Source organism: Homo sapiens, chromosome 7 (genome assembly GCF_000001405.40).
Source record: "Homo sapiens chromosome 7, GRCh38.p14 Primary Assembly".
Lineage (NCBI taxonomy): Eukaryota > Metazoa > Chordata > Mammalia > Primates > Hominidae > Homo > Homo sapiens.
Window position 1 is genome coordinate 88,270,247 of NC_000007.14, and position 22,200 is coordinate 88,292,446.

At 37.5% G+C, this 22,200-nt stretch overlaps 1 protein-coding gene and 1 long non-coding RNA gene across 4 annotated transcripts in view; one reads left to right on the forward strand and one right to left on the reverse strand.

Moving 5' to 3' along the window:
• STEAP4 (STEAP4 metalloreductase) overlaps positions 646-22,200 on the reverse strand; it is a 36,003-nt gene continuing 14,448 nt past the window's right edge. The window contains exons 2-6 of one of the 3 annotated variants that reach the window (NM_001205315.2): positions 20,670-20,768; positions 13,568-14,025; positions 12,395-12,922; positions 10,669-10,833; positions 646-9,382 (exon numbers count right to left, since the gene is read on the reverse strand). In NM_001205315.2, coding sequence (NP_001192244.1) covers positions 9,152-9,382; positions 10,669-10,833; positions 12,395-12,922; positions 13,568-14,023 — 1,380 coding nt within the window. In that variant the 5' untranslated portion in view covers positions 14,024-14,025; positions 20,670-20,768 and the 3' untranslated portion in view covers positions 646-9,151. The remainder of the gene's footprint in view (positions 9,383-10,668; positions 10,834-12,394; positions 12,923-13,567; positions 14,026-20,669; positions 20,769-22,200) is intronic. The other 2 variants (NM_024636.4, NM_001205316.2) reach the window with 2 other exon arrangements.
• Positions 21,241-22,200, forward strand: part of LOC124901692 (uncharacterized) — a 41,815-nt gene continuing 40,855 nt past the window's right edge. Inside the window, exon 1 of the long non-coding RNA XR_007060420.1 lies at positions 21,241-22,064. This is a non-coding gene — a long non-coding RNA (uncharacterized LOC124901692). The remainder of the gene's footprint in view (positions 22,065-22,200) is intronic.

The window sequence follows — 22,200 nt, forward strand, 5'->3', positions numbered from 1 at the left end:
GTGTAGGGTGGATGGTTTGGTGGTGGAAGGGGGCAGAGATGGGGCTAGAGGGGCAGACTATGGAGAGACTGGAATTAATGCTTTATGTGAAAAGAAATTAGGCATATTATTTGATGTGATCCTGAAATTTTGCGACTATAAAAATTTACAGTGAACATGTACACTAAATTAATAGAGACTCACAAGTTAGAATAACAGAAGCAACAATCACGTTATACTCTAAACCTGCACCTCAACTGGAGTTATATTTTTGATGCCTACTTGCTATTTTTAGCCAGTTTTATAAAAACTATTTTTATTGAAAATTTATTTTATATTAAAGTATTTTAAGTCTTTTTCATATGGGGAAAAATGCCAATACAGATGAAATAATGGACAACTTTTTGTTGTTGAATATTCCTAAAATGTCTACTAGGAATTTAAATACTATTTTAATTACAGAATGTGAAAGAAGGGAAAAATATCATGTTTTTGGTTTAGGGAACTGTGTTTTAAAAGGAACATTGAAATGTTTGTAGATCTGAACAAGAGGCACCAGAAAGATGAAAGATTTAGAAATTTTTATACAAGAGAAAACAGTGAATGTGCTGGTGTTTAGCGTAAGATAAGATTTAGCAGGGATATGCAATCAATTACTTTAAAAAATTTTTTGTTTATAATTTTTTAATTAAAAATTTTTAATTGACACACGATAATTATACATATTTATGGGGTACATAGTGACATTGCAATACACAAAATATACAGTGATCAGATTAGGGTAATTAGTATATCCATCATCTTAAGCATTTATCATTTCTTTCTGTTGAGAACATTCAATATCCTCCTTCTAGCTATTTAGAATATATATTATTGTTAACTGTAGTCATCCTACAGAGCTATAGAACACTACAACTTAATCTTCCTATCTAGCTGTAATTTTGTATCTTTTAACAAATTTCTTCCTATCCCCCATTACCTTTTAAATTAAATTTATTTTAATAATTAGGTAACCTACTCATGTAATTTAAAAACCAAAATGATATGAAAAGGTCTACAGTGCTTCTACTCCTGTCACTACTCCTCTGTTCTCCCATCTTGTTTGGTATGGATCTTTTGAATCCTTCTGAGAGTTTCTTTAGGCAATTAAAAGCAAATACACATATGCAAAAGGAATCATACTATATATGTTATTTTGTACCTTTTTAAAAACTGAACAGTATATTTTGGACATCTTTCCATATATGTGAAAGAAGGTGTCTTGGTTTGTTTTAAACAGCTGCATAGAATTTCATTCTGTGAAAGCATCATAGTTTCCTTAACCAGTCCCAAAGATGAATGCTTGAATCACTGCCCATATTCTACTTTTACAATGTTATTCATGAAAAACAAGAAAAACAAATAGCAATGCTTCTTTTTCATCTCAAATGCTTGTAGGCATATCTATAGCATAAATTCTCAGGAGTGAGACTCCTGGATCAAAACTTAACTCTGCATTTTTTAATTTTGAAAGATATTCCCTAACTGCTCTCCACAGGAGCGGTCCTAATCTGCATATCCAAGAGCAATGTATGTGAACCTACGTTTCCACAGCCTCACCCACAGAATGTGTGCTCAAACATTTGGATTTTTGCCCATCTACTAGGTGAGAAATGGTATTGATACAGTTACAATTTTCATGCGTCTCATTATGAATGAAGTAGAATATATTTTCATATGTTGCAGAGCCTTGTTTCTCCTGTGAACTTTGTTCATACTCTTTGTATAGTTTCCAGCTGGTTGGTGTAGTAGTTGTAGTTGGCACTGCCAACTACGAGTTCCTCTTGGCGGCCACCTCTACAAGCTGAAAGCTGGTGGTATGAATGCTGGTACCTCTTTGCCTGTGGGCCTTTTTCCCCCTAGACATGGTGGCATACACAATAAGTGTGTAGGAAAAGCCAGAAGTGCCACAAAGTTAATGTCTTGGAAGCATCTGTATTCCAATGTTAAGCAAGGATTTGGTGGATGAAAAGCACAGTTTCCTTTCCCCTTGATGGGAATAACTCTTAGTTATATCTGACACTGTCTTCCAGACTTTCCCAGCAAAACTGAGCTCCAGTTGCCCAGATGGGTAACCAGCTTGAAAATTCATACTTTATTCCTTCCCTGCTCTGTCTACTTTACTACTCCATTCCCAGTATCTAATAATTTGATGATTTTTAACTTCCAGTATAAACTCTTTTACAAGAAGCCTTGCCTCAGGATCGGTTTTTAGAAGTGCCAAGCCAAGCCAGGTTGTTAGGCCTACGTTTGAGCACTGTGCAAAGTGTGGTCTGCCCGTGGTGCTGGCTTGTGAGCTGTTTTTTACCAGTCTGTGATAAATTCAGAAATTGGGGTGAAAAGTTTAGAAACTTTTATGGCAATTTGATGTTGCCATCACATTTAAGGGTGTGATTTTGTGTTTTACAGACATATGCATTGATTTGTAATGAACTGGAAAAAAATGAAACAAAAATTACTGGCCCCCATCTCTGATAGTTGGTGAGGCACTGCTTTAAATGATCACACTAAGAAAAATGGGTAGAAGTACAACTAGGGAAACTTTGGTTATCTACAGAGAGAACTCCCTGATAATTTCCTGGAGTGCCTAAAACAAAAGATTTCCTGTTGGTGATGGTCAATACTCCATCATGAGAAGAGTTAAGCCTGTAGAAGGCTAGCTATAACAGACTCTATAGAAAATTCCTGCATTTGGTAGCAGATCTCTTCTGCTTTTTTATTTTCTAAAACTGACAAATAACAGTTGTACATATCCATGAGGTACATAGTCATGTTTATGTATGTACAATGTATAGTGATCAGATCAGTGTAATTAGCATATCCATCATTGCAAACATTTATCATTTCTTTGTGTTGGGAACAGTCAATGTCCTCCTGGCTATTTGAAATTATATGTTATTTTTAACTATAGTCATCCTACAGAGCTATGGAACACTAAAACTTATTTATTTTGCTGTAATGAAATGAGAACAGGAAGTCTGTCATTCTTTTTCATCTCTATCTTAGCATGAAAGAAAGGATTAGTAAAAATGAAATGAATACACTGGGTGGGCTCCTTCAAAATCTGTTGACTTTCTAAAAATCATAAGGCCAAGTTTAATTCTGGGTTTCTATTTTATCACAATCTGATACTTTTTGATATACAATACTGTGAGTTCCAGTCCAGCAGCCTTTCATTTTCACAAAACTGAGAAAAAAATCTCATTTTTACAGCTATAGGTAATGGAACTAAGCCTGGTGTGTGTGTGTGTGTGTGTGTGTAACCCTAGATTCTTCAACTAGTATTAAAGTACTAAATGAGAAGTGTTATGAAATTTCTTGCATGGGTTACTGGATCTCAAAAACAAATAAGTTCACTCAGTACACAAAGCAATAAGGTGAGAAACCAGGGAAAAAGAAAATATTTGCCTTTAAGCTCTGGAGAAGAGCTATCCTCTCCTTGACTGCCCCTTCGAGTCCTCAGGTCTGGGGATTTTACCTCCCTCCACCAGAACAAAGCTCCCTTTAGAGTTTAGGAAACCTTGTGGCCAGACTAGAGTGGGAAGATTAAAATGGCAATTGCAATGGAATTGAACTTAATGCGGGAACCACAGATCCTGTGTTTCTACAACCTTAGAGGACGAATTGAAATCAGCATAGATAAACCTGGAGTATTGAGGACTGGGCAATCAGGAATATTTAAAATGCGAATAAGCTTCTTGTCTTTAAAAATGTTTTTAAGAAGAGTTGCAGTGGTTTCGTTCACTTAGTCTATTTTGTGGATTCAAAGGGACATTTAAGAGGACAGCATGGGTGTCCCCTATTATATCGTTGTGTTAAAAGGAGATGGGCCTGGAGTCAGACTGCCTAGATCCCAGCTCTGCCTCTCATTAGTTGTGTGAACTTAGTCAAAGTACTGAGATTTCAAAGCTCAGTTTCCTCTTCTGATAAATAAGGATAAGAAGAGAACCTTAGAGAACTGTTATGAGGATTAAATAAGATAATGCATGTGAAATTGTTAGCATAGGCTTTACGCATGGCACTCTGCTGTAAGTATCATTAAAAGCCTTCCAAAATTCCCTTACAGCAGAAAGCAAGTAGTACTGGATCCTTTTGGCTTTTGCTGGGTAATGGCAAGAGCACTGTCTTGCTCTTCCACACTCCCCTTTTCTCAGTCCCTTTGCCCTCAATCCCTTCATCCTTCACCTCCCTCATATGGGTCTTATCCGAAACTTTAGGACTTTGCCTCGAGCTTGAGGAGAGGTAATGCATATGTTACCAGAAAGGGGGTCCAATACAGACCCCAAGAGAGAGTTCTTGGATCTTGCACAAGAAAGAATTTGAGGTGAATCCATAAAATGAAAGCAAGTTTATTAAGACTGTAAAGGAATAAAAGGGCTATTTCATAGGCAGAGCAGTGGCATGGGCTGCCTGGCTGAGTATAGTTATAGTTATTTCTTGATTATATGCTAAACAAGGGATGGATTATTCATGAGATGTTCAGGAAAGGGGCAGATGATTCCCAGAACTGAGGGCTCCTCCTGCTTTTAGAACATATAGGGTAACTTCTGGATGTGGCCATGGAATTTGTAAACTGTCATGGTGCTAGTGGGAGTGTATTTTAGGCTGCTAATATATTATAATTAGCATATAATGAACAGCTGAGACAGCCAAAGATCACTTTCATTGCCATCTTGGTTTTGGTAGGTTTTGGACGGCTTCTTTATTGCATCCTGTTTTATCAGCAAGGTCTTTGTGACCTGTACCTTGTGCTTACTCCTATCTCATCCTGTGACTAAGAACACCTGCTGTCCTGGGAATGCAGCCCAGTAGGTCTCAGTCTTATTTATTTATTTATTTATTTTGAGACGGAGTTTCACTCTTGTCACCCAGGCTGGAGTGCAATGGCGCGATCTTGGCTCATTGTAACCTCTGCTTCCTGGGTCCAAGCACTTCTCCTGCCTCAGCCTCCAGAGTAGCTGGGATTACAGGCATGCGCCACCATGCTGGCTAATTTTTTATATTTTTAGTAGAGATGGGGTTTCACCATGTTGGCCAGGCTGGTCTCAAACTCCTGACCTCAGGTGATCCACCTGACTTGGCCTCCCAAAGTGCTGGGATTACAGGTGTGAGTCACTGCGCCCGGCCAGTCTCAGGCTTATTTTACTCAGCCTCTATTGAAGATGGAGTCACCTGGTCCAAATGCTTCTGATACATTGAAGAGTAACTTATACTCTTTTCCCAAATTCTACTGAACAAACCTTTAGAAGAGTGAAGGATTTTTCTAGAATGTAAACCTAATTCATTATAGAAAATTGAAGTAGGACCCTGTAAGGCTATCTGTGGGCTCTCATGGGGTGTGTGTGTGTGTGTGTGTGTGTGTGTGTGTGTGTTGGAGAAGTGGTAGTGAAGATGATGGTTGTGATGATGGAGAATGAAAATTGCAACTACTGTGTGCAGTACCATGACTGCCATTACACCTTAATTTTGGAACAGAGTTCCAGAAGCTTTTATGCTCTCAGAGGTGAAATGCATAATATGCATTTATCATTATCATGGCTCTTTTGTGATCCCTGAACAATAGATGAATGAAGAGCTCCTGAATGAATTTCTAATTGAAATGGCTTTTTCAGTAGGGGCTTTCCATTTGCTTCCAGCTTCCTCCAGGTTGTCAGTCCTCTCTTTATTTGTAAGTTTTAATACTATTTTTGAAAGCAGGATAACACCCATCAGAGCTGCAGCAGTCCAGTTGTGCAAGGCATTTAATGCCCAGTCACGCAGTCTGAATCCAACCTGAAGTCTGCTTGTCAAGCCATTAGCCTTATCCCTGTGGCGTCTGCATGGAGAAGGAAAGCCTTTTTTACCTCCAAATTCTCACAAAAATCCAGCGTGGGATAGTGCAGTCCTCCCCATTTAGCCATCTGATGCTCTCCCCTCTCTGAGGGTAATACTGAAGCACACACAGCATACTGGACTGTGCCACCCCGCTGAGCTCAAGCTTACATTGCAAGAAGCTGCAGATCTGTTAATGCACTTTCAAACCCATGCACTGCCTTCTCTTTTGCTTATCCCTGAAGGGAAGTATTTTTAGTCCCAGATGCTGGAACTACTGTGATTCAAAACCTTTTAGTAACTTTATTTGGAATGCTGATGAGTTAAAACCAGAATTAAACAAAACTAGGAAATATTTTTAAAGTAACATTTAATGAATACACATTTATAAAAGCCATCATCCCTTAACATGGGGAAAGTGTACAAAAATAATGTGAAAGTGTAAAAATTTTTCTAGAATACAGGAAACATATCAGCAGTAAAGAAGTTTAGTTTAACTTTTTTTTTAAATGTAAAATAGTTTGGATCTGTTAAAAGGAATACAGTTCGCCCAAAGCACTTATTTTCATCTGTTGTAAACTCATTCTTTCTACCTTAAGTAAACTGGAGGAGTCAGCTGTGTTAATATGGTCAAATTAATTTCATAGTTTTGGGAGCAGGGAGGTTGTGGGAAGGACAGAAGGAGAACTTGGGCTTTCTTTGGTCAGCTGGTGGGGCTTGGAGCACTTGTGGTTGGGGCCAAAGGTCAGGTCTGGAAATGCAGCTATTATGCCAAAACCATCAGAGTGCTCTTTAGCTTCAGGCTTCATGAATTGCTTTTAACTACTCAGGTAGAGCATTTTTACTAGGCTATAAAAGTAGAGTTCATTTTTTTCTATAGGTCAGCATTTTACCTATGGATGGCATTTTCTATTTTCGGTGACGGACTATGAGCCAGGATAAACACATTACTCTCTTCTTTAACAAAAAGAGCATGGTTAACTCCAAAGACTTCTCTAGACCAGCCTGGATGGTACCTAAACTTTAATCAACCAATGCTCAAGTAAAAGAGCAGTATCCAGCCCCAGCACACCTAACTGTTTTGCATAACATAGGTGAGTAGTGACATTTTCCTTATCTTTTCCACTGATACTGTAGGGTCAGCACCGTATACCATGACTCTACTCAATGTCGTCCAACTTTTTGTATCCTTGCTTGGGTTTATCAAAGATAAGTTGAAGGAGCGTGTGTTCTGTGTACCTTTGCAACCAGTTATAAATAAACGCAAATTGAAATAAAAAAGACAATCTACAATGGTGCGATGAAAGCAACACCCTCATCCAATGGTAATTAAATTGATAAGGTCACTTTAGAAATGGCTTGGCAACATTATCAGTGCAAAGATATTATCTGAAATGTTATTTATTTTAGTAAAAAATGGATATAGTCTACATGTTTAATAAGGAAAGAGGTTTGAAAAATGCCTATTTGATGTGATATTATGCAGCCATTAAGAAAATATATTACGTAAGGCCAGATTCATGCCTGTAATCCCAGTGCTTTGTGAGGCGGAGGCAGGCAGATCACTTGACGCCAGCATTTCAAGACCAGCCTGACCAATGTGGTGAAACCCTGTCTCTACTAAAAGTACAAAAATTAGCTGGGCATAGTGGCACATGCCTGTAGTCCCAGCTACTCGGGAGGCTGATGAACAAGAATCACTTGAACCTGGGAGGAGGAGGTTGCAGTGAGCTGAGATCGTGCCACTGCACTCCAGCCTGAGCGACAGAGCAAGACTGTCTCAAAAAAATAAAAAAGAAAAAAATAATAAAAAGGAAAACAAAGCCTTTAGAAAAACAAAGCCTTTGAAAAAGGATGTAAAATTGAATATATAGATACAATTATTTTTAAAAAGTTTTATAGAAAAATATCCTGGATTGTTGATGTTGTTTTAATATATTTTAATCATTTTTGTATAATGTCATGTATAATATGTTATAATGAAAGTAAAAAAAAAAAAAGGTCTTAGCAGAGCAGGCAGAAAAATGCCAAACTCAGTGCCTTTTAGTTATTTTGATATGTGGGAAGATCATGCATAAGGCTCCTTTTAGCTCATTGCTTGAGCTAGGAAGGTTAATCCCCCTGAAGGTCACCTTGGAAAGGGTACTATCAGCACAGAAAAACAGTGAGAACCATCCTAAATTTCAGCAAGGATTTGAGAAAGATCCAAATTTCACATAATGATGAATCTTCACACCTCTCTGCCCTATGATTTTCCGTAATTTTCGATCATCTATGCATTGTTCAAATTTATACCTGCAGACTATTCATTTAATTTTACTCCTTACAATTATAATAGACTAAGACAGATATAGAAGCTACTTATTTACACTAGAAATTAATTTAATAGATGAAAAATATTGAGCAATATTTGGAATATAAAATTTACAAAGCATATTATAATACCTAAATAATACTTAACCTAATATAGTGCAATTTTACAATATTTATTTAGCTTGCTGTCTAAAATTCTGGTTTCTTTGAACTTTTTGATCAAGAACTTTTATCAACCCTTCTTTGCTTATTGCACAATGCAAGTGAAATCCAAGGGGATATCCCTCCATTTTTATTCAGTCTTTCCTATACCTATTCTTTATAGAGGAAGAATTACATGCCAGCTCTATAGATACGTATGTATCCAAGACATGGATACTTTTAATCAATTGTAAATTTTTCTTGTGTTATAAAAATAGTTCCTCTCAGTAAATATCTGTATTAAGAAAAGCAAAGTCAAGGGGTCATTTCACTAGAATTCATCATGGTAATATTTATGTTTGCCTTTACTTCCAAAAAACAACAAAAACCTCATTCCCTTTTTACATTTCATGTGACCCACTTCCTCAGATATACCTAATAAAGCCTTTATCAGTGGTCACCATTGTGCTGTTTTTCCTTTCACTTAACTCAGCCCTTGAGCCAGAGAAGGAAGCTGCAATACTTCTATTGGATTTTGCAAGACATTAGGTCATGCATGTTGCCCATAACAAGGAAACTCTTTAGTGTGAAACCACAAGGCTAGTCTCAATCTCAGCTCCATGGCCTCTGGGAAAATAAGAGTCAGGGACCTGCACTGATTCTTCACTAACCTGAGATAAAATGGTGTTCTCTTCCAGTATGTCAGTCAATTTCTCAAAGACAAGCAATGTTTCCCTCAGTCACGGTGTAAGAAAAAAACTTTCCTAACTGTACCCATCATTCTTCTTTAAACATTCAAAACCATAGTTCAGAAATCCAGCTAAATTGAACTTTGTTTTAAATATTGATTTTCCATTCAATGCTTTTTCTAGTGTTTTGAGTTCCTTTCCCAGCCCTGGCGGATCCTTGTAAGGGTGTTGTCTACACATGGCATGATTAGGACAAACTTGATCACCAGCACAGTGCAAGGAATGATAAGCCCTAACACGTAGGCTGCAGGAAGATACCATCTGAGATTTGAAGGGCTGAGGAATCTCTTCCCACCGTACACCAGGGTGTGGGCTGTACACAAGATCAGGGTCAAATAACCCAGTTTGGACTATAAACAAGAAACAAAAATATGTAAGTTAACATTATTTACATCTTAAAGTGAAACACTCTAAGCCAGTGACAGATATTTGTCAACAACCACAAACATTTGAGACCTATAATGTTTAGGACACTTTGCCAAGTACTGAAAAAAAGCACTAACCCTTCTTCAGGATGGTAAATACTTCATTTAAAACAAGATTATTTCTTACAAATGACATAGTAGCTTCACCTTAACCTAGCTGGATGGAAAAGTTTCCCAGGAGTAAACTCTTCCAAGTTAGAATAAATAATGTAGCTTGTCTTGGTTCCCAAAGGTGAAACTCTTTTATTTATCATCTTTTCTAGAGGTCAGAGATGAATATGACACAGTATGACCTCAAGAAGCACCATCTTAGTATATGTTACTGACTAAAACCAGATCCTAGCTCATTTCTATCACAATAAAGAGCAATAGCCAATCTTGTTTCAGCCTACATTTTAAAGCTTATTGTTTATTTCTGCCTTAATACCTTGAACAAAACTGCTAATGAGAACATGTTGACTGCATTTGGTCCCTGGGAGAAATTGCAAGACTTAAGATTCCAATAGTTCTATAAAATTCTAACCTAATTTTAAAGACTAATGCTCTTTTCTATTATACTCATAATAAGCATGCATCAGAATCATCTTGAAGGCTCATTAAATTTCTGGGCCACAGGTTCAGAGTTTCTGATTCAGTAGGCCTGGGCATGGCCTGGGGCTTTGTGTATCTAACAAGTTTCCAGGTGATGCAGATGCTGCTGGTCCTGGTGCCATATTTTGAGGACCACTGGTCTACAAGAATGTGTAGTTACTAACTGCCTTTAAAGAGGGGTTGGTTGGTGCTTGACATGTGGAAGAAAACAATTTTCCCTCTTACAGAAGAGCATTAAGTCTTCCGGTGTGATGACATCTATCAAATCTTGCTGTGAAGATTTTAAACTTTATCTCAACATCTGGTTTTCCATATCTGTATGTCCATGTTGTAAGGTTAATTTTTTAGATGGTGAAATTTTGTCTTGGGGTTTCTTTTTGCCTTGTACCTAGTACATCTCCACACATAAATTGTAATAGTTCTTAGTATTTTTCACCCTATAGTCTTAGCTGTAGATATGGAGGCAGTCAGGAATCTTGGCGAGTATTAAGAAATCAAATCATTATGGATTCTGCCTTTTGTACCTGGGTTCAACATTTTCTAATTTGAATTTTTAAATATGATTGCTAGGGAAGTGATGGAGCAAAATGAAAAGTTAGGAATGAACTTGAAGTTCTTACCTGGACAAATCGGAACTCTCTCCAGTTGACTGCATTGCTAACAGATGGCAAAGAAGTGATTCCCAAGAGTACAAACAGAAAAAACCCAAGTATTCCCAAAGCCACATATGAATCACTGAGCCAGGCTGAGGAGGTGCTAAATGGATTCTCCTTCTTGAGTATTGCCTAAGAAAAATTATAAGCAATTACAAAACTACATTTTTACAAACTACATTTTACAAACTGCCCACACTTTGACAGTGGGCACAAATTATTTGCTCAAAGCAAATTGTATGGCATTTCTTAAAAATTATTTTAAAATAACTTTAGTGAAAAATACACTTAGAAATTATATTTTTTGGCAAAAAAAGTAATTGGTTCTGTTTGGACTTGATTCTAGGAGTTGTGTAGAAAGTTTCGATTTTCCCTGTAAATTCTAAAAGACAGTAAACACTCACTTAAACCTTCATTACCATCTGCATTTTGTTCCCCAAGCAAAACTTGATGTTCTCAAACAATTACATCAGAATTCTGTTTTTCTGCTTTATATGTGGATTACTCACACTCTCAAAGTGGGTTCTTTCATGTTTATTATACATGATAATAAATACATCATAATATAATACATCAGTCTTGCACCACAAGTTGAGAGGAATCAGACACTTGTAGTGTGACTCTTACCCAGGAAACTTACATGTATTTGTTGGGAAAATAATGTAGAGAAACCCATAGAAGCATCATTAATGACTAACTAATAATTTTTGAGACTGAAGTAAGATCTATCAAAACTAGCTATTTCTAAACTAGAACTGACTTATAGCACTTCCTCTGAGAATGTCTTAAAACTCCTTCAGCTGATTCTCACTGAATCTTTTGATTATGCATAAGACAATATTTGATATTTGCTCAGAATTATTTGGTTTTCTAGTTATTGAGGTCAACTTCCCCCAAGTCAAACATTAAGGGAATTATAAGCGCTCTTTTGTGAATTTGTTTGCTTTAGTGTGGCACATATTTGGTTAGCCCTCTTACTTAAAAGATGGTTGGTTTTGACTTCCAAAAGGAAGTAACATGCCTAAGAATAGAAGCTTGAAAACACACTAGTTAACATTTGACTGCCAACCAAAGGAATTCAAGTAGGTGTCTTTAGGTTTCTTGAGCCATGAAATCTGTCAGTTTGCCAATATCTCTATGAGCCCTGGGAATACAGATCTGGACCCAAGCGAACCTGGAAAGTATCATTTTTTTTCTTTCTTTTTTTTTTTTTCTTTTTGAGATGGAGTCTTGCTCTGTCACCCAGGCTGGAGTGCAGTGGCACGATCTCGGCTCACTGCAACCTCTGCCTCCTGGGTTCAAGCGATTCTCCTGCCTCAGCCTCCTGGGTAGCTGGGATTAGAGGTACCCGCCACCATGCCCAGCTAATTTTTGTATTTTTAGTAGAGATGGGGTTTCACCATGTTGGCCAGGATGGTCTTGATCTCTTGACCACATGATTCACCTGCCTCGGAATCCCAAAGTGCTGGGATTATGGGAGTGAGCCACCGCCCCCGGCAAACTTTTATTCTTAATAGTTGTATGAGATCTAAACTGGATTCATTTTAAAAAACTGACATGACATTTCTAATTCTAGTTACTTTAAAAAAGAAGATGCTTAGAAGAGTGACTTTCTATAATTATGAAATGGAATATGATGTAGCAATAGTCTCTGATTTCAGGAGCAGAAGAAAATATATAAGAAGAGATTTACCTGGGTAACGGTTAAGTTTCCCAATCTCCATCGTACATAATATCGAATAGGAATCACAAGTGTGTAGAGGACATGAAGGAAGGCAAATCCCAGAGCTACCAAGCCAAGCTGCTTTCGGCAAAGCATCCAGTGGTCAAGCCAGTCTGGGAATCGACGGTATTTTGTGCCTCGGTACAGTTGTAGAATGGCAGCAATAACACCAGGGAGGTAAACCAAAGCAAGCAGTGTAAGTGCTGTTATTGGAAAGATACGATTTGGAATGGAAATAGCCATACGAAATGTATTATCTTTCTTTTCATAAACATAAGGGTAGATTACGTCTCTTATAACACAATAGAAAAACAAGAAGACACACAGCACAGCAGACAAATAGAAGGGGAACCTCCACATTGGAAATAGCTGCAGGGGGTACTTTTCAATTTCTTTGGCTGCCATGAGTGATCCTTGATCCATTGGAGTAAGTCCAAGATTACGAACAATATCCATCACTCTTTGCTTGGCTTTGCTGTCATTTCCACACACAAACACCTAGTTTAAAAACAGTTAATTAATTCTGTATTTACTCCTTTTCCTTATTTAATAATTATTTTGAAAGGCTACAACAGCACCATGCCAAATGATGACGTAAAACAGTGAACCGATTTTAAAATAAGGATGTAGAATTAACATATGTAACAAGATGTTTTAAACTTGTATGTGGTGTCTTAGATAGGTAAGTACCAGGGTTTTTAGTTGATGATGGTTTTAGGCACATCACACTTATAAAAGACATGGTTCTCCACACTGTGAGTAGTTTGATCTTCTGTGTTTGTGGTGCCGCATCACTTATGAATGCTTCTAATCTCAGTGTATAAATGGAACCAGTTTCATACAAGGTAATGGAAGCAGAAAAGGATATTCACCAAGTATTAGTTTCTAGTACTGACAAGAAGCCTCCAGAGGCTGACACCATGGGGTTCCATCAAACTAAAATCTGAGGGTGCAGACAGTGGGAGATATAACAGTTGACCACCTTATTTGGTCAAGCTCAAGAAAATTATTCACAGCACATATTAGCAAAATGTAATATTTAGTGGGCATTTCATCTTGGAATTATATTTTGGAATCTTTGAGGCAAGTGCACATTTAATGATTCATGTTTTAAAGATTGAGTGTAAATTTGTTTATTCTTACCTGCCGACTTGCATCCAGTGCTCCTGACTGGAGAGCCCAGGCTGAGATGGTGTTAAATGCTTTTACCACGTGGGCTCCTGGCACCAAATGAGCAAGGTACTCTGCATTAGATTCTGGATATTGATTGATTTTGAGGTTGTTGCTGATGTCTACCAATATTTTTCCATTGAGAACCTCAGTTAATTCTGTGAGAAAATCATAATGCTCTCTGTGGATTGCTATGATTATGATGCCAGACTTCTTGGCTGCTTCTGAATAGCTCAAGACTTCTGCACCACTGGGCAGTAGGGTGGTCTTCTGGGGGTTTCGACTTCCAAAAACAACAGAATAACCACACTGGAGCATTTTCAATCCCAGTGATCTTCCAAAATCACCAGTTCCAAAAATACATACAGTCTCTTGCTTTTCTGAAGAATTCATAGTAAGAGGAAGTGCATCTATACAAGTTTTCTCCATAACTGAAAAATAATAACACAAATGCCCAACAAAATATAAATGCTCTGTGCCTGGAAAATTAAAGAGAGCTATATTCAAGAAGTAATGTAATTGACTTGTTGTAATCTAATTATCTTAACTATATTTACCCCCAAATTTGGAAGGAGTAAAAATTGTCATATATATTTCCCCCCAAATTTGGAAGGAGTAAAAATTGTCATATATCTTTTCATATGTGTCTTATTTAACAAAATCACTGGTGAAAAGCTTCTGTTTGATAAAAGGATACAGGGCAAAATCTGACAAAAAATATGCTCCAATAAATTATAGATAAATTCACTTGTTTAGTGATACCAAAAAAAACTAAATAAAACATTAGCAAACACAATCCAGCAGCTTGTTAATAGAAGGTTTATGTTGATCAAATGGGGATTATTCTACAAATGTGAAGATTAGTTCTATAAATTCAATTTTTGAAACTTCATTAATATAACTTAAAAGATTAAAATTTAATTTTATATTAAAAGATTTAAGGAAAAAGTCTGTCATATCTGTGTATGTTAAAAGGACATCTGTTAAAATTCAACATTTATTCTTGATTCATAGTGAAAGAGAAATACATAGATATTTCCTTAACATATAAAAATTATTGATCTTAACCTAAAATTCAGCATTATGCCTAAAAACATTAGTAGAAACATTTCCAACAAAGTCAGGAACCAGACAAATACATCTGCTATGACCACTTTAGTTATTGTTCTGAAAGCTCTAACATAACTAGATCAGAGAAAGAAATCAGAGGTACAGAAATTCAAAAGGGATTCCAGATGATCGAACTAGATCAAACTTTAAAAACTGGGAAAATCAACCAAAAAAGTATCATACATACAAAAATAATTCAACATCTAGGCTGGGAACTCGATTAAAATAAATATTCTTCATATATTAAAAAAGAAACCAGTAAGAAGATTTAATACATGAAAGGATCCTACTTATAGCTGCAACAAAATAAAGACAATATGTAACAAGATAGCAAGATATGTGCAACATATGTATGAAAAATATTTTAAATGCTCTTAAGAATCAGGAGAAGAGAACTTATATAAAAGAAAATGTACAGCATGTTCTTGGATGGCAAGGCTCACACAACGTCAGTTTTCCCTAATTCTATAAATTCTGAAAAGTAGGTTAATAAATGGGATGCTAGTCATATTAAATATTAAAATTTTTATAAAGCTAAAATAATTAAATAATGTGGTACTATCAAAGAAATGGATAAAGTTCTGGCCAGGCACAGTGGCTTATGCCTGTAATCCCAGCACTTTGGGAGGCCAAGGCAGGTGGATCACTTGAGGCCAGGAGTTTGAAACCAGCCTGGCCAACATAGTGAAATCCCATCTCTACTAAAAATACAAAAATTAGCTGGGTGTGTTGACACGCGCCTGTAATCTCAGCTACTCAGGAGGCCACAGCACTCCAGCCTGGGCGACAGAGAGAGACTTTGTCTCAAAAAAAAAAAAAAAAAAGAAAGAAAGAAAAGAAAAAAGAAAAGTAGAAAAATTTTAATGAATAAGTTTTAAAAAAATTCAGAAATGGACCCAAACACATATGATAAAAATAGCATCTCAGGTCAATGAGAAAACAGATTATTTAATAGCTAATGTTGTAATGACCCAACAGGTTTGCCTTGCCTGCTACCTAGACAGAGCTGATTTCTTCATATGAAAGAACATTTCAGCTCTTTATGAGAGTCCCGAAAGTTTTTTCCTTTATTTTAATGTCATAATCTCCAAGGTTATCAGAAACTTGCATTCAAGAGCACCTGTCAAAGTTTTATAGCTGATTATAAAACCATCTCCTAAAGAGGACCAAATCAAGACAACAATTGTCTGCAGATGACAGAAATGTTTTAGGGAAGCCGCAGTCAAAGAAATTGACAAGGAAATTTGTTACCTCTGTGGCACACAAAAATTCAACATAACAATTATAATTATTACTGATAACATATACTGAGGCATATTAGAATTATAGAAATCTTATACAATTTTATAACACATACTAATAACATATTTATATGAGTATAACTCAAAGAAAGTTAAACACCATTTTATATTTGACAATGTTTCCTGCATGATTTTAATACATTAAATAAGCCTAATATATCTTTTTGAACTTCAGGATATCTAATTTTTTTTTTTAAACTTATAATTTGATCTTGGAAGGTTTGTCAAATATCAAAGATTTAAAACACTGGATATCACAAAATAGAGTCCCGTGTCACCATAAGTCATTCATTTACCCAAAATGATAACTCAGGGCTGGGCATGGAGGCGCACGCCTATAGTCCCAGCTACTCTGAGGCTGAGGCATGATAATTGCTTGAACTTGGGAGGTGGAGATTGTAGTGAGCTGAGATTGCACCACTGCACTCCAGCCTGGGCAACAGAGTGAGACTCTGTCCCCTGCCCCCAGAAAACTGCTGTGAGCAATTCCTTCAGGGCCCTCCATACATATAAACACACACACACACACACACACACACACACACACACACACACACGCAAACAATGTAAGATGAACAGAAGGCCTTCAAGACACAGATTCCAGACCCAGTCTCAAACCAAGAGTAGTCCTCCAAACAAGTTCCTTAGTCTCCATCCAATTAGACAACCCCTAATGGGGCTACAGACAGACACTCTGTAATGGGGCTACAGCTACAGACACCTTGTAATGGAGCTACAGGCAGATACCTTGTGATAGGGCTACAGACAGACACCCTGGGAGGTTACTAAGAGACAGCAGCACCTCCAGAGAGGCCAATAAATCAGGAGAAGGAAGGGGCTGTTGGTAGCTGCCTGGAATACTCACCAAATCAGACACCTTGCATTGAGGCTACAGCTACAGACACCCAGTGATGAGGCTACAGTTATGAGATATCTCCCTAGCATTACTTCTCCACTGCAATTGAATCCATGCACATTGGGTCAGCAGCACCCCACTGGCAGAGAGTGCCAGAGTCAGCCCCTAGTCCAAGAGAACTAGGTGGCCACTTGGGTTGGCCTCCAGATCCATCACCAGAGGTGGGCTACAGAGCAGGTAACAACAAAGGCAATCCTGGTCGAGCCCCCAAATTTGTAACTGCCCAATGGATTCACCTTGCCTGCTGCCTAGACAGAGCCAATTTATCATGACAGGGGGATTGCAATGGAGAAGGAGTAATTCAGGCAGAGCTGGCTGTATGGGAGACACGAGTATTATTATTACACAAATCAGTTTCCCAGAGCACGAAGATCAGAGTTCTTAAAGATAATTTAAATTAAAATAGGAGCTCGAAAGTGGGAAGTGCTGATTGGTCAGGTTGGAGATAGAATTATAGAGGGGATCGCAGAAGTGGTTAAGCCAGATTACCAATCTGGGTGGTGTCAGCTGATCCATCCAGTGCAGGGTCTGCAAAATATCTCAAGCACTGATCTTAGGTTTTATAATAGTAATGCTATCCATAGGAGCAATCTGGGGAAGGTCAGACTCTTGTAGCCAGAGGCTGCATGACCCCTAAAATGTAATATCTAATCCTGTAGTTAATCTGTTAGTCCTACAAAGGCAGACTGGTCCCCAGGCAAGAAGTGGGTCTTTTTGGGAAAAGGGACATTATCAATTTTGTTTCAGAGCCAAACCATAAACTAAATTCCTTCCCAAGGTTAGTTCTGCCTGCAACCAGGAATGAACAAGGACAGCTTAAAGGTTAGAAGCCAGATGGAGTCAGTTAGTTCTGATCTCTTTCACTGTCATAATTTCTTCAGTTAGAATTTTTGCAAAGGTGGTTTCAACGTTGGGGCAACTCAAGAGTTACCTGAAAGAAAAAAATAAATTTATACCTTATACTCCACCCCAAGGTAAATTCAAAATAAATTAAAGATTTATTTTATTTATTTATTTTGTGAGACAGAGTTTCGTTCTCGTTGCCCAGGCTGGAGTGCAATGCTGTGATCTTGGCTCACTGCAACCTCCGCCTCCCAGGTTCAAGTGATTCTCCTGCCTCAGCCTCCAGAGTAGCTGGGATTATAGGCATGTGCCACCATGCCTGGCTAATTTTGTATTTTTAGTAGAGACAGGGTTTCTCCATGTTGGTCAGGCTGGTCTCGAACTCCTGATGTCAGGTGATCCGCCCACCTCAGCCTCCCAAAGTCCTGGGATTACAGGCATGAGCCACTGTGCCCAGCTAAAGATTTATTTTTAGAAAAATGAAACTAGAACAGAACTAGAAGAAACCATGGAACATTCTTTTATAATCTTAGAGGGGAAGGTCCTCTTCCTACATCATTAAACCATTAACAAATAGTTGGACAAATGTGATTGCATAAAAATAAATAACTTCTGCAATGCAAAACCGCTAAGCAATGTCATAATGAAGATAATCAACGAACTGGAAAAAATATTTTTCAACTCATATAAATCAATGAGAAAAAAACAATTGCCCATTAGAAAATTGGGCAAAGAATATGAGCTGATAGTTTATCCTAAGGAAATATATAAAAGACTTCTAAACACAGTAAAATATTCTTAATATTACCCAAAACTAAAAAAAAATGCAAGTTAAAACTAAACTGAAATACTGTTATGAACCATGTGGCTGTAGAATTTAAATAAAAAACAAACCAGTTTGTATGATCTCCTGCAATAATCTAGGTTGTTTTTTATACTTTTGAAGAATATCTTTTCTTTCAGTATTGAATTTTTCTCAAAAATGTTTCTTTTCCAATATGTAGTTTAAGCTTTCAGTTAATCTTTTATTTTTTTTGGTGCATGCATGCGCGTGTGTGTGTGTGTGTGTGTATGTGTGTGTGTTTGTGTGTGTCTATTGTTCAATGATGTATCTTCAGTGCTCAGAAAAGCACTAACTACCACAGTCTAGGAAATTTATAAATATTCGTTGAACTATATTAAAAGGGTGGGATGAAGGGGCTGGAAGTACAAAAGTTTACTCTGTGTCCCAGGCACAGTGTGAGATAAATAAAAAGGAAGATGCTGAATGATTAAAGAGTAACCAATGGAGAAGAGTAAGAAAGAAGGAAAGAAGTGGAAGAGATGTTGTAAGGACATTATTTCTTTCACCCAAATGGGTTGAAAGTAAAACTCTGTGAATTTGATGCAGAATTTTCAAACCAGACTTAATCACTACTCAATTCTCCTATGGTGGATTTCATGCAGATTGCACAGTGTATGTAGAGTTTGCACCTTTTTCCTGGGGTTTCAGAAATTTGTGCTTTCCATTTTAGCCTATCAAAAACACCTATATTCTTACCGGAGCTTATCTGAAGTTGCACGCCTCCATCAAAAGCAGAGCATTTAGGCCTTTGTAGGGAGGTAGAAGTTATGGGAGAAAGGGACAAGAAATACAGGACATTCCTGCACTCCCACAGAAACTCTGAATAATCTAATTAAGTACATCTGAATCATTTTATAAACAAACTGGCGACTGATATCCTGAATGGGTGTCATCAAAGGTCATGACCACATGTGGGGAAGTACCTGTAGATGATCAGGGAACTTTGTATAAAAGTGCAGCTGTGCCTTTGAAAATTTCTTACTAGCATCTGCACATGCAGACTAGTTTAGCAATTTACCTTCTATTGGTTGATTGCCAATCAGTTAACACCTAGTTTTATAAATCAAACCTTCAAACTGCTGAACAATGCCTTCATTATTCTACTGTAGAACTGGTTTGTGTCACAAAAGAATGTGTGACTGCCTATCTCCTCACTTAAAAAAATTATTTTATCCTAATATTTTTATTCTCTCTTTCATACTGGATGAACATTTGCAAGCAAAATGTAGATTTGATGCAGTTGCCAGTATCCTGTAATGAGATGGATTTTGTTAACTGAAATATTCTCATTTGGATTATCTTAATCATTGCAAAGAGAGAGTGATTCCAGACCATTTTGACTATTTGGTCACTATATTCATTTATTCTAATCTTTCATAAATTTTTTAATGAAGATATTGACTTCATGGTCCTATTTTTTGCTTTGCCTCTTACCAGCAATGTCACCTTGAGAAAGTTACTCAAACTCTGTGTCTCAGTTTCATCATCTGTAAAATGAGGGATTGCTAGTACCTACTTGAAAGATACTGCGAGTGAGGACAGCAAAAATCAGCTAATGACCATGAACAGGTACTGGAGACAAAAAACTCCGTATCTGAGGAATTTAGAAGTATCATGAAGGGAGCAAAGAACACCTGGTGACCATCAACTAGGCCATCAGAGGCAAAACTCCGTATCGAGGGAATTTAGAAGTATTTAAAATTCTCTAGTATCTAAATAGGCATCTGGTTCCAGGCCTCTTTCAAAAAAATTTCTAAGTAACTAAAATTTCTATACATCTCCAGAACGCTATGCTGAAACTCATTGTGCAACCCTTGCTGACACAAAGGCACCAAAATGACTATAAATGTCATCATTTATCATGACCTGTCTGGCTAATATGGTCCAAATTACCCTCAAGCTTCTGTCTTAAGGTCCATAAATGCTCCCAAGGAGAATCCACCATGGCCCACTCAGTTCTATCTTGCTAAGGCGCCCTGCTGCACTCTTCTGCAGTGTTCTTTCTTTCTACTAAAACTTTCCTTTTTCAAACCTATTCTGTTGTTATTAAATTCTTCTTACCAACTCGCAAGTCGACCACTTTCAGATGCTAGGGCTCTCACACCTCGCCCGGCAGTGAAAATTAGATGAATTCCTGCATCTCAAAACAGTTCTTGAGACCTAGTAAGTGTTTAAGAAAATGGGTATTTTAAATAGATTGGTAATCTATTAGTTATTGAATCAAGTATCTAATTAATGTAGCCTTTATATAAACTTTACAAATTAAGGGTTAATTATGCTTATATAACTATGATTATTATAAATATATAAAAAATATCTGAACTAGAGTGCAACGATTCTTAAGAATCTCCTACTTGTCCCACTTATTTCTTATAAATAAAACTCTATATAAAATGGCGTTTGAGGATCACTTGAGGTCAGGAGCTCGAGACCAGCTTGGCCAACATGGTGACACCCCGCCTCTACTAAAAATACACAAAAAATTAGCCAGGTGTGGTGGAACACACTTGTAATTCCAGCTATTGGAGAGGCTGAAGGGGAAAGATCGCTTGAACCTGGGAGGTGGAGGCTGTAGTGAGCCGAGATCGCACTGCTGCACTCCAGCCTGGGCAACAGAGCAAGACTCCATCTCAAAAAGAAAAAAAAAAAAAAAGAAAAGAAATAGATATATGCACACTCTCAACCACAAGGGAGATCAAGTTGAGGGTGCATTTTGCATTAGGTACTATCTAAAGAATGCTGCTACACCCTTTTCAGGCATCTTGAAACTCAAAATAGCTGTGTGTAAATATACGTTCATGGAGGTTCCTTGTTCAAAGACTTAAAAAAGTTTTCTAGTCCTACTTTACTCTTATATCCAGGATAGAAATAATAAAGAAAATAATAAAAAAGGTAGTAAACAGGAAGAAGAGTTATTAAGGGAAACGTGGGTTAAAATAGTTAAAACACAACATAGGGGTTTCCTCTCCTTCCTTCAGTCTCATGGGCTCTCCACAAACCTCAGTTATGTAACAGGAAATACAACAGAAATATTTCTGGGTTTGGAAAATCTGCAGGACTGGTTTTGCCTCTTATGGAATCATTTCCCAGAGATGACAGCCAAGATGCGTAAAGTGATCTCACAAGGGTGTTTACATAGATTAGGAATTAGCAATCAGTGACGCAGATACAAAGGTGGCAAAGATGACAATGAAGGCCATGGTAGCAGCTGACTCTGAGAAACCATGTGTGTGTGTGCGCGCGCGTGTGTGTGTGTGTATGTGAGTGTGTGTGTCATATGAGGGACCAAGTGTGGGTCAGGAGGAGTCCTGCTTATCATCCCTCTCTTTGCAGATCTCACCCCACAGGCCTTGGAAACCTGAGGCAGTATTCTTCTGGGATGTTTCCAACTAGGCTTCCCATGAGGATGTTAGAGCCAGCCTGGCTGGTGAATTTTACTTCTCTCACCTCTCAGAGGTAAGAGGTCTGAGAGGCTCAGGCCCTTCCAGCTTTTGAGGATTCCAGCATAGTAGAAACATAAAAAGGTCCAAAGGGAATTACAAAAATAATCTATTTTCAGTTCTTATACTTAACAAGTCAATTCTTATTAAAA